Genomic DNA, 15,596 nt, shown 5'->3' with positions numbered 1-15,596 from the left:
CACCTGAGGTCAGGAGTTCAAGACCAGCCTGGCCAATATGATGAAACCCCGTCTCCACTAAAAATACAAAAATTAGCCGGGCATGGTGGCATGTGACTGTAGTCCCAGCTACTCAGGAGGCTGAGACAGGAGAATTGCTTGAACCTGGGAGGAGGAGCTTGCAGTGAGCCGAGATCGAGCCACTGCACTCCAGCCTGTGTGTCAGAGTGAGACATCATCTCAAAAACAAAACAAAACAAAAAAACCAAGATGGATCGTGTCCATGTCTGCACCACCACACATCAAACAATCCAACAGGTGGAACTGTGCAGACTTCCCCACACTCAATGTCCTCTTTCCAATGTCGCTGTTCGCTATCTGTGGATGTCCCTAAATGGCCTCAGAAGTTTCCATTAGAAGAAATTAGAGATATTGTAGGTTTTAAGTCATTGAGCAATCACTTACTAATTACAAGTCACTTATTTATTAGACAAAAATGAACATTTTATGTGCACAAAGATAGTATCATAAGAGGTGTGGCGTTTTGCCATTGGAACCTGGGCATACGGTCATTTGTCCTGCAGTTTCTCGTGTACTGAAAGGTGGCGTGGATCCTACAGTTTCTCGTGTACTGAAAAGCGGTGTGGATCCTACAGCTTCTCTACTGAAAGGTGGCGTGGATCCTACAGCTTCTCGTGTACGGAAAGGCGGCGTGGATCCTACAGCTTCTCGTGTACGGAAAGGCGGTGTGGATCCTACAGCTTCTCTACTGAAAGGTGGCGTGGATCCTACAGCTTCTCGTGTACGGAAAGGCGGCGTGGATCCTACAGCTTCTCGTGTACGGAAAGGCGGTGTGGATCCTACAGCTTCTCTACTGAAAGGTGGCGTGGATCCTACAGTTTCTCATGTACGGAAAGGCGGCGTGGATCCTCAGCTTCTCGTGTACCGAAAGGCGGCGTGGAGCAGCACAAGGAGCTTGAGCGTTGCAATGAGAAGTCATGGCTGTGAATCCCACCCCATCACGTTTTGAATGTTGGGCAAATTAATTAATCGTTTTATCCACTTACTAGGCGATGTATAGTTTGTATACTTCATGCCAGTCATTGTTTTAGACTCTTAAGATGCAAAGATAAATAAGAAAGTTGCTTTGGGCAAAGAGTGAGACCTTTTTCTTAAAAAAACAAAACAAAAGAATTACCATGTGATGAGCACTTCTCCTTCTGGGTGCATACCCAGTGCTCTGAGCTACAGCGTCTAACGTTCAAGCCAGCTTCTCAATCGGACCCCAGGATCCTTTCTAGAGAGAAATCCTGTCCACGTCGCCCTCCTAGCTGGCACGGCTGCAGGCACCAGTGTCGTGGCAGCGGGAAGGGGAGGACGGGCTTGGTGAAAGGGGACTGGGGCCTCCTCACTCCTGGGGCTGCCAGCTCCCTCACCCTGAAATCAGACCCACGCCCGCCCTGCACTTCCTGAGTGTTTCCTGAGACCAAGGGATCAGAGCTTCGGCTGTGAGGGGCGGTGCTGTGCCCTGGGACACACGGAGCCACAGCCTCCGCTTCCAGGGTGCCCTGGGGCCTCTCTCCACGTCTCCCTAGGGGCAACCGCCACAACTACTCTGTGTCGTGTGTCCTGCGCCGTCCATCCGACCCCTCGCAACTCATCCCAAGCCTGGGGGGCTCTGGGGGACAGGGCAGGTGGGGCCATGTGACCAGGAGAACCTGCTGGTGTCTCCGGCCTCCACTGGGTGCCCCAGGACTGTGGTCAGCAGGGTGGAGCCCCTGATGCAGCTTCACTGCCTGCTGCAGCCAGAGGGGGATGGGGTCCCACCCACAGCCCCTCCTCCGGAGCCCCCAGCTCTCCCCTCCGAATCTCTCCACCCACCGCACCCCTGAGCGTGAGGGGCACTGGGGTCTCCTCCCGGAAGTGGGGGTCCCGCCTGGCCCCTGAAGCCCTGGGGAAGGGTTTCTGTGGAGCTGCTCATGGTCCCTGCCTGTCCTGCCCCCGGGCCCAGGGCCTGGCTCCACCGCCCCGGCATGTCATTCCCGGGGGTGGGGGCGGCACCACGGAGAAGTCAGACTCCGGCTGGGCTGGCAACAAGGGTGGGGTCAGAGGAGCCCCGTGGCGCTGTGGAGGGTGACCGGGTGCCAGGGTCCCGGGAGCTGCAGGGTTTGGGGCTGAGGCGCAGGATGAGGCCGACACAGGGGTCCTGGGGCGCGGGCGGTCCGAGCCGTCCCCTCACCGCCCAGCCTCGTAGGGGCCCGCTGTGGGCCAACTGCAGCAGGAGCTGGGGACACAGCCGTCTCACACCTGCCTCCTGGTGCGTTTCTGGGGCTCAGGGATAGGCGTCCTCACTCAGGACACACAGGACTGGTCTGGCCGTGGGGTCAGGCCAGGAGGCATCCCCTTTGCACCTCCTCACACCCCTGTGGGGAGGGGAGGGCCCTGGGAACCCATAGACGCCTGCCCCACAGCAGCTGAGGTCCCGCAGCAGCCAGCAGGGCTGGGCCACTTGAGGCCTCCGGCTCTGATCGCCCAGAGGGCGCACGGGGTTTGGTGCAGCCTCTGATGGGCACGAGGCGGCCGCACGGGATGAGCACAGTGGGCGTCCCTTCCCCATGGCCAGGACTCCAGGCTGGAATGTGGAGGTTCCCGAAACCCACACTGGAAGGCACCCCATGGATATGCTGGGGACTGGGGCCGAGAAGAGGGCACTGCAGGCACGCGGTGGGGTGGCCTCCCAACGCCCAACTCTCCTGCACACCCCAGCCCCTCCCGCAGGCCTGGGCATGGAAGTGAGCCCGGGGCGGGTTCAGGCAGCAGTCAGGGCCTTTGTTTCAGTGCCGTACGCTGGCCAAGTTCAACATCCAGGGGGATAAACAAAGGTCCTGCACACGGCCTGCACTGGGCGGGAGCAGCTCCAGAGAACCTGCCTGGGCCAGGGCTGCCCACAGCGCGGGGGCAGCATCTGTGGGCACACCCGGACCCTGGGTGACCAGTGTGGGGGCCTCTCTGCATGCTCAGGCAGGTGCAGACAAGGCCGCGGCCTGGGCAGCCATCTGCCTGTCACTGCCTGGGCAGCCATCTGCCTGTCACTGCCTGGCCAGTCATCTGCCTGTCACTGCGTCTCAACAACTGGTGCCACAATTCTGTGCTGACAACAATCTCCACGCTGCAGCCACCGCCCGCCCCACAGGCCCCTCACCCTCAGGCCACCTGCCCGCCCCACAGGCCCCTCACCCTCAAGCCACCCGCCTGCCACACAGGCCCCTCACCCTCAGGCCACCCGCCTGCCACACAGGCCCCTCACCCTCAGGCCACCCGCCTGCCACACAGGCCCCTCACCCTCAGGCCACCCGCCTGCCACACAGGCCCCTCCACCTGAGACGCCAGCAAAGGAGGCCGAGAGGAGAAAGCCCCAGGCCGGCTTCCCGGCTGCCACTCCCCGCACCCCGTGCCAGTTGAACTCCTGAGGCTTCAGGGTCCAGCCTCTCTGCAACCTCGGCTCCACCCCGCCCTCCCCATGCCTTCAGATTCCTCCGCTGGCTCTGAATGGGGTGCCGGGAGGGCCCCTCCTTCTGCAGCTCAACAGCCACGTGAAGCCCTCGCTGCTCCAGGAAACGGGGCCCCGAAGGCTGGCCCACGGAGATGGAGGCAGGCACCCGCCATCCTCAGCACCAGGACCACGGGTTCCATCCTGGCTGCACACCGCGCTCCCTGGAGAGCTGTAATGTGTCCCGATGCCCAGGCCACCGCCTAGCCAGTCCACCCTGGACAGTGGGGAGCGGGGTCCCCGCATCAGCACTTCTGAAGGTTCCTGGGTGACCTCAAGGTGCAGCGGGAGAGATACTCACCACTCATGGGTGGTCCCCGGCCCAGTGCTCCCCGGAACTGGGGAGGGGCTCCATCTCAGCCACCCAGACCGAGGGACCCATGTCTGCACCCACAGGACCCCAGGGGCTCCCTGTGCTTGCCAGGTGCAGCCACAGTGCGCAGCGAGGACTCAGCGAGGGACAGGTAGCAGCAAGGCCAGCTTTAACTCGAAGGGGCCCAGCCCAAGCTGCCAGGTGTCTGGGTCCCCGATCAGGGTCTGTATCAGCTCCCATTGCTGGCACTGCCAATCATCACACAGCAGAGGGCTTAAAAGGACAGTTTATTCCCTCATGGTTCTGGGGCCAGGAGCCTGAGGTCAAGCGTGGGGAGGCAGTGGCTCTGGGGATCCGCCCTGCACCTCCCTCCTGTCACAGTCCTGCCCTTCTCAGCCCATGGACGTGCCCTCCACCTCTGCTGGTCTCCCTCCAGGACACGCCACTGGACTCAGGGCCCAGGCAGGCAACCTGGGGTGACCTTATCTTGAATCTTGAGATCCTTAACTCGATCACATCTGCAAAGGCCTTCCCGAGGTTCCAGGTGGACGCGTCCCTTCCCGAGGTTCCAGGCGGACGCATCCCTTCCCGAGGTTCCAGGCGGACGCATCCCTTCCCGAGGTTCCAGGCGGACGCGTCCCTTCCCGAGGTTCCAGGCGGACGCGTCCCTTCCCGAGGTTCCAGGCGGACGCGTCCCTTCCCGAGGTTCCAGGCGGACGCGTCCCTTCCCGAGGTTCCAGGCGGACGCGTCCCTTCCCGAGGTTCCAGGCGGACGCGTCGCTTCCCGAGGTTCCAGGCGGACGCGTCCCTTCCCGAGGTTCCAGGCGGACGTGTCCCTTCCCGAGGTTCTAGGTGGACATGTCTTTTGAGAGGGCCTCAGGTTAACCCACTACTGTGTCTGAATCTGTCCCTTCCCCAAGCAGCAGCTCTGTGTCCCAGCATGGCCACTGTGGGGCAGAGACACAGCAGGTCCCACATCTCTGTGCCCTGCAGACCCGTCAGCCCTGGGGATGCTGGTCTGGGACGGACCCCTAGATATCACACAGCCGAGAGGTAGGTCAGTGCTTTAAGATGCTGATACTGCTGGTTCAGCTCCTGGAGCAGAATTCTCAGGGTGGATTTCCAGCAACGCCTCCTGGGAGGGTCAGCAGGGGCTGGGGTCCGTGGGGTGGTCTCCGGGAGGTTTGCCTGTGTCAGGCCTGTGCTGCTTCTGGCGGAGGCGCTTGTCCAGCCTCATCCAGCCTGGTGTCTCCGGTGCCACGCGCTAACACCTTCAGTGCACGCTCGGGAACGCGCCTGGAAGGCCCTGCCCTGCCCCGCCCCAGGCTCCAGCCAGACGCTGCCAGCACCCGGGCCCTAGGCTATGCCAGTCCCACAGGACTTGGGTGAAAGTGGGTCCCAGAGGCAGGGCAGAGGGCAGCTCCTGTCTGGGGGCGCATGCTGGGCACCTGATCTATACCCAGAAGCCCATAGGGAGCAGGGTCCACAGGGCTGGCGATGCCGCTCCCAGGAAGCCTTTGTGGGCTCAGACACAGGACCCAACAGCCCTGCAACAGTGCCTGGAGCCAGACGTTCACCCCAGATCCTTCTGTGGGGTGAGACTGCAGGTCAGGCCGAGGCGTGTCAGCCAGGGTGGTGTGACTGCACCTCCAGAGCCAGCAGCAACGGCCAGGCTCAGATTAACGTTCAGAAACTCTGGCACCTCCAGAGCCAGCAGCAACGGCCAGGCTCAGATTAACGTTCAGAAACTCTGGCACCTCCAGAGCCAGGAGCAACGGCCAGGCTCAGATAGAACATTTAGAAAGAACTCTGGCGGGCAACCGTGGGTGGCAGAGTCACAGCTAATTCACAATTTACAGCCAAGACTGTCCCTGATCCAGTCTAGAGAGAACCTGTTAAGGAAAAATTATCCTGGTGCTTATCGTAATGGCAAGGAAGACTTCATTATGGACTCCCGCAGTGAGGGAGAGACGGGCTCTATGTTGGGTGCAGCAGGACAAGGGGGGTTCACAGCCGAGAAGTGAGGGGGTCCGTGGCTGGAAAATCACCAGGAGGGTGCGGCAGGGCCGGGGCATCCTGCTGAAGGCGTCGAGGACTGAGGTCTGATCTGCTCCTGGAGCTCAGACATCGGGGTGGGATTCTCTCTGACCTGACTCTGGGTTCCTGCTCCGTTGGACTCGGCAGGGTTGCACATGGAAGCCCAAGGTTGAGTCCCCCTCAAGAAGAGGCTCCAAGAGTCTCTGCCGCGCCTGTGTCATTTGGCCGCAAGCACAGCTGTGTGGGCCAGAGTGTTGGGGAGATCCACCCCTGCTCAAAGAGTGGGCAGGGGCTGAAGCCAGGAGGTGGGCCCTGCGTAGGGGTAGCACCCACGAAAACAGAGCGAGGAGGCACACGTAGGCTGAAGCATCCAGGAGCCAGGGCCTCAGGAGTGGGCAACACAGAGAGCCAGGGAGGACGGTGGCCACCTGGATCCCGGAGAGCCACCACGAAGTATCCCAAAGCTCTGGGCATTGAGGAAGCCTGATCAAGGAAACCCGAGAGAACTGACATCGTCAGACGCAGGCTGGCCGGGCTGGCAGTGGCTGAAGGTCTGGGATGGGGCCCCTGCCACGTGGCCACCACAGGCTGAGCAGAGCCCAGCGGGGAAGGACCCACCAGCTCCCCTGGAGACCCTTTCCACCCCTGGCTCTGGGGGCCAACCCTACAACCAAAGTCCTGCCCTCCCCAGGGGGCCAGGACCACCTCCCTTTCCCTGGGCCCTGGGAGTGGAGAGGAAACGGCTTCCTTTTTCTCCCCCAGCCCAAGATCTAGAAAAGCGGGGCTTAGCCGGGCACGGTGGCTCACACCTGTAATCCCAGCGCTTTGGGAGGCCGAGGCCGGTGGATCTCCTGAGGTCAGGAGTTCAAGACCAGCCTGGCCAACATGGTGAAACCCCGTCTCTACTAAAAATACAAAAATGAGCTGGGTGTGGTAGCAGGCACCTGTAATCCCAGCTACTCGGGAGGCTGAGGCAGGAGAATCCCTTGAACCCAGGAGGCGGAGGTTGCAGTGAGCCAAGATTGCACCATTGCACTCCAGTCTGGGCAACAAGAGCAAAACTCTGTCTCGAAAAAAAAAAGAAAAGAAGAAAAGAAAAGCAGGGCTCATACCATATGCCATGGGCACCTGACACACAGGCCCCTGCCTGCCCAGACCTCCACATGTATCCAGGCCCCGAGTGAGTGTCCAGCCCCCCCACCGTGTGTCCAGCCCCCCGCCACGTGTCCAGCCCCCCGCCACGTGTCCAGCCCCCCTGCCGCGTGTCCAGCCCCCCGCCACGTGTCCAGCCTCCCTGCCGCGTGTCCAGCCCCCTGCCGCGTGTCCAGCCCCCTGCCGCGTGTCCAGCCCCCCTGCTGCGTGTCCAGCCCCCTGCTGTGTCCAGCCCCCCTGCGTGTCCAGCCCCCGCCACGTGTCCAGCCCCCGTGTCCAGCCCCCCACCGCATGTCCAGCACCCCAACCGCGTGTCCAGCCCCCCCGCCGCGTGTCCGGCCCCCCCGCGTGTCCAGCCCCCCTGCCGTGTGTCCAGCCCCCCAATGCGTGTCCAGCCCCCCCAACTGCATGTCCAGCCCCGCACCGCATGTCCAGTCTGAAGAATCCCACAGAAGAGCAGCCCGCATGTGGGAACGCACATGCTTTTCTATAACACAACATGGCTACAAAATGTTCACAGCCCTTGAATCTCTGTCATTTCTCAGAAAATACCCTAGGGAAAAGGCCTCAGAGGCCCAAATGTTCTTCTCAACATTATTTTAATCAGGAAATACTGCAAACTATCCCAAAGCCAACTAAAATGGTAGGGCAGAGGGAAGTTTTCTGTAAATGCCACTGGAGAAAGTATCACACGGCCCTCGCGGTCCCAGGGGCTGGGCCAGGGCAGGCTGTGGCCTCCCAGGGAGTTTTACAGATGCTGGATCACAGGGGTGGGCCCATGAGAAGCGGGCGGCGGGCTCCTCCGCCCTCAGACTTGCAAGCACGGACCACGGCCGCCTATGCTGGCAAGACCGCGATCATGCTTTTTCATTTCTCAGGGTTCAGTAATCTGCCTGCATCTCTTCTCCAGCAGCAGCTGCACATTACGCCATGGGGCATCAACTCCGAGGAGCGCTTGGCACGCGCCTTCCTCCTCCCAGCCTGGAATCATCGCCCGGGCCCTTCCCTCTCAGGGCGGGGACCTCTCTAGGGAAAGGAAGGGCTTTCCAGGGCAGCCCCTCCAGCCTGCATCTCCTGGGAGGGCCCCAGAGAGGGCACTGGGCAGCTTCACTTCAAATCGGGGGCATTGGGGCTGAGCCCGAAGCAGGAGGGCAGCAAGGGTCCTGACATTGTGGACTTGGCCAGGGAGGGGCCAGTCCCTCTCAGCCACCCACAGCTACCTGTCCCGAGAGTGTGAGGATTCGGGTCTTTGGTGGGCTCTGGGGAAGGGGCTGCAAGGAAGCGGGCCCAGAACCTGGTGCTGAGGCCCAGGACCCATGCAGGGACGTGGGGCAGGACAGAGAGGGGCAGGGCAGGGGCAGGGACAGGGGCAGGGATGCGGGATAGGACAGGGGTACGGACAGGGATGGGGCAGGGACGCAGGGCAGGACAGGGGCAGGGACGGGGCGGGACACGGGACAGGACAGGCGCAGGGGCAGGGCAGGGATGCAGGGCAGGACAGGGATGAGGGCAGGGACGTGGGGCAGGGACAGGGACGTGGGGCAGGGACAGGGACATGGGGCAAGACAGGGACGGGGCAGGGACGTGGGGCAGGGCAGGGAGAGGGGCAGGGACGTGGGGCAGGACAGAGAGGGGCAGGGCAGGGGCAGGGACAGGGGCAGGGACACGGACAGGGCAGGGATGCGGGGCAAGACAGGGAGGGGGCAGGGATACGAGGCAGGACAAGGAGGGGGCAGGGACTCAGGGCAGGACAGGGCAGGGGCAGAGGCAGGACAGGGACGGTGCAGCCTCCGCTGCTGCCCTCTCGGGGAGCCTGGCTCCCACCCTCACCCAGCCACTGCTCCTGGGCACAGAGCTGAAGGGGAACTGGAGGCTGCGGCGTTCCTCTCTCCGTTCCCCTCTCTCTGGTGACTCGTGATAACGAACCGACCTTTTGGAGACATTCTGTGCCCTCAACAAAAGCGGCCCCTGTCTGGAAACCCCCCCGAGGGAGACTGACTTCCTCCCCTGCTGCCTGGGCTGCGGTAGCTCTTCCGGCACCTGCTCTTCAGGCACCTGCCCTGTGCTGGCCCCTCCTGCAACAATCGGGTAAGGGGACCCAGGACCACAGGGAGGCTCCAGGGAGCCCCGTGGGTGCCTCCAGCAGCCGTCGGGGGTCTCTGTCCCTCACACCTCATCTGTGAGGGTCCCTTGGCAAGGCAGCCCCTCCCGCTTGCCCAGGGTGGCAGGCCGGCTGCCCGCATGCAGAGGCTGCTGGGAGGGTCCCCTCATGCTCTCCCCTCCCCGTCCCCTGCCTACCCAGCCAGGGCTCTCGCTCCCAGCAGCCAACGGTACAGCCCGCCTCGGTCTCTGGGGTGCTAGATACACTCTGCCTGGAGCCCAGGTACTGGAACCTCTGTGCCTGGGCCATGGGGGGCAGGTTAAGGGAGGCCCTGCCCCTGGAGCGCAGGTACTGGAACCTCTGTGCCAGGGCCATAGGGGGTGGGTTAAGGGAGGCCCTGCCCTGCCCCTCACCTGTCCCCTCATCTGCACATCCCTCCTTCGTGTCACCTGCACAGGAGCCCTCACCTCAGTCGGCGCTGCAGAACCAGCCCAGGAGAGCAGCTGGCCTGTCATCTGCTGAGGAGCGGAGGCGTGCGGGGATCCGGAGGGGAAGGGGGTCTGGAGTGCTCCGGGGGAGACCCTCAGGGACTGCCCTGCTGCTGGCAGCGCCTGGGCCCACGGCTGATGGAGGCGTCTCCTGGCCCCCAGGGCTGTGCCCAGGACTGCAATGGCCTCCCACACTACCTCACTACCCTGGTCCAGGCTCACTGACAGATGAGGAAACTGAGGCAGGGGCCCCGGTCTCACGGCCATTGGTGCAGAGCTGGGATCCACGACCAGGTGGGCTCTTTGTTATTACTTCCTCCAAGGACAAGCCCAGGTTCTCCAGGGTGTGGGGTCCACGTGTGGCCACAGCGGGCCTTAGAGACAGACAGGCCTGGGTAGGGGGAGGGGTGGGTGGGCAAGGCCTTAGAGACAGGCCTGGCGGGGGAGGGGCCGGGCCTGTGCACTGGCAGTGGTGGCACCACGGGCCCTTGGGGACACCAAGTGAGCTCTTTAAAGTGGCTAAAGTGGTAAACCTTGTGTTTTGTATAGATTCTACCAATTAAAAAAAGGAAATGTGGGCCGGGCGTGGTGGCTCATGCCTGTGATCCCAGCACTTTGGGAGGCCGAGGCAGGTGGATCACCCAAGGTCAGGAGTTCAAGAGCAGCCTGGCCAACAGGGTGAAATCCCATCTCTCCTAAAAAAACAAAACAAAACAAAACAAAACAAAACAAAAACAGAATTAGCCGGGCATGGTGGTGGGCACCTGTAGTCCCAGCTACTGGGGAGGCTGAGGCAGAAGAATCACATAAACCCAGGAGGCCGGAGGTTCCAACGAACTAGGATCGCACCACTGCACTCCAGCCTGGGCAACAAAGTGAGACTCTGTCTCAAAAAAAAAAAAAAAAAGAAAAAAAAAGGAAAAGAGAAAGAAAAAGAAAAAAAGTGACAATTCACATAGACCCCTGAAAACCTCTGGGCTTAGGGACAGCAAGAGCCTTCCTGGGGCCTCCTGGACCATGTCAGGGCCTCCGAGGCCTCTGGGACGCCATCCCTGCTCAGCTTCCTCACTCTCCTTTTGCCCGAGAACAAGCTCTGTTCTGGCCACGGCGTTGTCTACACAACACAGCTAACTGCTTTGCCATCAGCCCTCATACAGATTTAAAACACACACACACACACACACAAAAGATAAGGTTATGGGCTGCACTGCGTCCCCCAAATTCACAGAGTGAAGTCCCGACTTCAGGATCCGCCTGTATTCAGACACAGGGTCTTTACAGAGGCGACAAAGGTGAAACAAGGTTACCAGGGTGGGCTCTGACCTGACCTACCGGCGTCCTTAAAAGAGGAGGACACAGACACGCAGGAGGGGCGGCCACGCAAGGACACAGGGAGGTGGTGCCGCCTGCCTGCAAGGAGAGGCCTCGTAACAGCCACGCCGCACCTCAACCCGGGACGCCCCCAGGACTGGAGAGAACCCACATCTGCTGTGGGAGCACCTGGCCACGGTGTGTGCGAGGCGGCCCCGGCAAACTCACGTAGACAGGACCCAGCTCCCCCAGGCCATCTTTCAATGGGAGAGGGTGACCCAGTGTTTTCCCAAAACCCAGCACGGTCCCCAGGACGCGTTCCCCACCAGGGTGGGCTGGGCCGGATCACAGCCCAGGCTCCCAGAGACTTCCGGTGCCACATCAGCTCACAGAGCTTCCTGTTTCAGCCCAGATCAGAAACACCATGAGACGCCCAAGGAGGAATATTTTAATACTTCTGCTATTGGCCTCACCCAAAACCAGAAAGTGCAGGGAGTCGTGAAAATGAAGAAAATGATCAGAACCTGAGGGACCAGGCCGTGCCATCCGAAGACAATCCTGAGATCTCTCTCCGGGCCCTGCCCTGCCCCTCCCTCTCTGCCCCCAGCAGGAGCCCCCTTTTCCCCTGGGGCCAAGAACCCAGGCCACACAGGGTGCAGAAGACCCGCCAGGGAGGCCACAGCAGGGGACAGAAAAGAAGGCCCGTCGCTGGCATGAGGGGTGGCTTCCATGTGGGGAAACTGAGTCAGTAGCAATTCCAGATTGGAGGTCCTAACCAGGTCAGGTATGCGGGCACCGCACCGTCAGCCAAGACCACAGCCCCACCTCCTCAACAGCTGGGCCCACGCCATCGGGGGGGCGTTCCAAGAGACTTAAAAAAACCATAACCCAACCCCGAGGAGGTGCCCTCTGAGGTGGGGTGTCCCATACTAGAGTCAGGGTGACCTGAGGACAGGCCAGGCACACAGGGCCACCCTGAGTAAAGACGGGGGACCCAGGAGGGCCTGGGACTAGCCAGGATGGTGGCTGCTGTGTTGAGAGGGCATCTGGGACCCCAACCCGCAGCCCCTCGTCTCCTTATGAGCCATGGGGCCTCAGGAAATGCACCCCATTTCGTGCCTCAGTTTCCCTCCTGGGCTGAACTGTGTCCCCCACAGCCATGTGTTGAGGTCCTGACCCCAGACCTGTGAGTGTGACCTTATTTGGAGGCAGGGTCTGCACAGAGGTAACGAGGTTAAAGCAAGGTCAGCTGGGTGGGCCCTGACCCACCCAGACACACAGAGAGAGAACAGGCCACATGACACGGGGCCGAGGCCGTGGCAGTGCTTCCGCCAGCCAAGAAGCACGGAAGACCTCAGGCCACAAAGCCAGGAGCGGCCTGGGACAGACCCCACTCACGGCCTCGGGGGCCAGCCCTGCTCACACCTTGACCTTGGACTTCTGGCACCATAACTGTGGGAGGGTGAATCTCTGGTGGTTTGGGGGCGTGGGGTGAATCTCTGCTGGTTTGGGGGCGTGGGGTGAATCTCTGCTGGTTTGGGGGCGTGGGGTGAATCTCTGCTGGTTTGGGGGCGTGGGGTGAATCTCTGGTGGTTTGGGGGCGTGGGGTGAATCTCTGGTGGTTTGGGGGCGTGGGGTGAATCTCTGCTGGTTTGGGGGTGTGGGGTGAATCTCTGCTGGTTTGGGGGCGTGGGGTGAATCTCTGCTGGTTTGGGGGTGTGGGGTGAATCTCTGCTGGTGTGGGGGTGTGGGGTGAATCTCTGCTGGTTTGGGGTGTGGTGATTTTTTGCCACAGCAGCGCTGGGTTTCCGATACGGCTACAATGCACATCTGCAGCAACTGCTAAATGAGGTAAAATACGTACAGAGCCAGCACGTGGTAGGCACGCCCTCAGAAGAAGTAGTGGGAGCAACAGGGCCCTGGAAGGTTCCAGAAGGCCTAAAAGATGGGAGAAGAATGTGAGCCGAGCTCTGGGATGGACCAAAGAATTCCAGAAGGGGTTGGAGCACCAAGTCTGACCTGGGGGGCTCCTCTGAGCAACCCCAAACCTCCCAGACACCCACGAGCCGCCTTGGCTCTGGGCCAGCACTGACCCCGACTGCTGACGAATCGAGGGCCCGCCAGCCCCGTGCACTCGCTCGGAGCCGCGCAGGTTTACAGCATGGTCCTGTGTGTGACCGCACTTGGTCCTCGGAAAATTCGGAAGGTGTGTCCCAGCCGCAGCCTGAGGACCGGCAATGTGGGCGTCCCACAAGCCACACGCCACACGGCAGGAGCAAACTGCCAATCCTCCCCTCTGCCCACCAGGCAGAGGCGGGAGCCGGGACAGCCAGAGCGCCTGATAGCCCTGGACTGCCACCACCACAGGAGCGGGAGCACCCGGCCAGCTGCAGGCTTAGAGACGATGCCCTCCCGGCTCCTGCCGGCCACAGGCTCCGCATTCGCCATAGAAAGGCTCTGCTGCATTCAGCACCCAGCCCGTGTCTCTAAATGACTGGCTGCTGTTTGTTTTTCTTGTGGCTGCAGTGGTTTTCTAAGAAGGTAACTCACACTGCAAGGCAGTAAAAATAGTTACCATTCATGCCACACCTGCAGGCTGGGGCCTACCGGACCTGGTCCCAGAGGCTTACACATGTGCACAGATACACATATCACACATGACTATGTGCAGACGTGTGCACACACACCTGCCTGCCCACAGGTGCGCTGCACACCCGCACACACACATGCACGGATACACACATCACACGTGCCTATGTGCACACCTGCACACGCACGGATACACACGTCACACGTGCCTATGTGCACACCCGCGCACGCATGCAGTTCAAGTCCTTGCAAGCCCCATGAGCAGGTGTCCTCAGCCCCTTTCTCTGGAGCCGCCGCGGGCACATGATTTGTCTGAGGTCCCATGGCAGGAGAGTCAGCTGCTGAGCTGGAATCAGGAACTAGGCCTGGCTGGCCAACACTGCTTGTCTGGGCAGTGAAACTCATTCCTCATGAGGCCCTCCAGGCGACTCGGTGGCCTGGCCGTGGGAAGAACGCCTTGCCCCGCCTTCCCCTCGCCCCCACCGCAGCACCAGCCAGGGTGCTGCGCTCCTCTCGCTGGGGACCTGCCAAGTCATCACCAGAGATGGAATCTGCCCCGTCAGACGTCCATACCACGCCCCCAGGGCCCTGAGATCAGGTCCCCAGGAGGAGCGGGGAAGGGACTGGCTGGAGCCCCGGCAGTCCTGAGCTCCACGAGAGCAGGGTCTGCCCGCTCAGGGAGGTCTGTCCTTTTGAGGCCAGGCACCCAGTCCTGGTCATCCGGGTCCACCCAGGATGACCCTGCCCTGTTCCTGCTTCTCCCAAGCACCCGTGACCTGGGAAGCCTGTCACAAACACCTCCCTGGACAATCCACGCTACAGAGTGCCCTGCTCCATTCCCACCACAGCCTCAGGCAGCACTGGCACCCACAGCAGAGGCCACCCTCACAATCTCACACTTCAGGAGCCCAGATGGGATGCTAGCCAGGTTCCCTAGAGGTGGCTTTGCCGGCCCAGGCAGCCCCATCTCTCCGGGACCCCACTGCTCCCCGGGTCCAGCCCGGACCCTGCAGTCGGCAGTGGCTCCATAAAGAAGTAAAATGAGAATATGCACGGGGCCCACACTTAGGGGACTCGTGTCACATGGTGTCCAGCATGGCTCGTGGGTGAGGACAGCAAAACCACCAAGAAATGACCCGAGAGGCCAACAGCAGCTCCCCGGGAAGGCCTGGCAAGAAATCCCCACAACCACCTCACATCCATTATCAACAAAAACAGTGACAAGTGTCGGCGAGGATGTGGGGAAACCGGAAGCCTTGTGTAGCGCTGCTGGGTTGGAAGATGGCGCAGCTGCAGGGAGAGCAGGAAGGCAGTTAGTTCCTCAAGTCAGAACGAGCACATGACGCGGCAATTCCACTTCCAGGCGTGGGCCCAGCAGAACCGAAAGTGAGTCTCAGAGAGACACCTGGCGCCCATGTTCACGCCAGCATTATTCATACCAGCTAAAACATGGAAGCAGCCCGAGCGTCCATCGCCAGAGGAATGAACACACAAAATGTGGCCCACGCACACGATGGAATATTTTTCAGCCATAAGAAGGAAACTCTGACACACGCTGCAACACAGATGGGCCCCGAGAACATGACGCTAAGTGAAATTGAGAGATTTTGTTAGTGGCTTGAAACCATCATTGTATTTGCTCACAATCCCGTGAGTCAGCCGTTTGGTTTGGGCCGGTCTCCTGGCCTGGTCTACCCAGGCTGCCCCCACCCCTGAAGCCACTTGGTGGTTAGTGCCGGCCAATGACCCCATGGTGCACACCTGGTCGACTTCCCAGGTTCCAGTTCCTCCCCTCTAGGACAGCCGCTGGGCCTCAGGGTCGGGGTGACTGAGGCTGACGGAGATGGCAGTCTCTTCCACGGCTGTGCCCAGGGAGGCTGCCAGGCACCCATCTACGCAGCAGCACAGTCTAAAGCCAGCCAGCCCCTCCCTCGGCCCCCACCCACGCCTTTCTCACCACGGCTGGAGGCCCCAGGAAAGCAACACAGACACGGGGGTAGGGAGCACTTCCAGACCCAGCAGGAGCCTGGAAGGCTTCCGCAGCCACACCTCTTCCACAGCCACACCCCTTCCCCA

General features: G+C 61.3%; 2 long non-coding RNA genes across 2 annotated transcripts, besides 1 other annotated feature; one reads left to right on the top strand and one right to left on the bottom strand.

Annotated features, from left to right (window-relative positions):
- Positions 1-4,112: 4,112 nt before the first annotated feature.
- On the bottom strand, positions 4,113-6,742 carry LOC124905035 (uncharacterized). Its single transcript, XR_007067899.1, has 2 exons — positions 5,545-6,742; positions 4,113-5,489 (listed from the first exon to the last, which is right to left on the bottom strand). It is a non-coding gene; the product is annotated as an uncharacterized LOC124905035 (long non-coding RNA).
- Positions 8,836-9,144: an enhancer, noted in NCBI's record as "active region_18265". NCBI's record gives its function as "activates an Ori minimal core promoter by ATAC-STARR-seq in GM12878 lymphoblastoid cells {active_cell/tissue: GM12878}" and the evidence as "EXISTENCE:reporter gene assay evidence [ECO:0000049][PMID:35858748]".
- Positions 9,082-10,171, top strand: LINC01678 (long intergenic non-protein coding RNA 1678). Its single transcript, NR_146631.1, has 2 exons — positions 9,082-9,119; positions 9,590-10,171. It is a non-coding gene; the product is annotated as a long intergenic non-protein coding RNA 1678 (long non-coding RNA).
- Positions 10,172-15,596: the final 5,425 nt, after the last annotated feature.

Source organism: Homo sapiens, chromosome 21 (genome assembly GCF_000001405.40).
Source record: "Homo sapiens chromosome 21, GRCh38.p14 Primary Assembly".
NCBI classification, from domain to species: Eukaryota; Metazoa; Chordata; class Mammalia; order Primates; family Hominidae; genus Homo; species Homo sapiens.
Note: the sequence above shows the minus strand (reverse complement) of the source record. Positions and strands in the feature narration are given on the sequence as shown.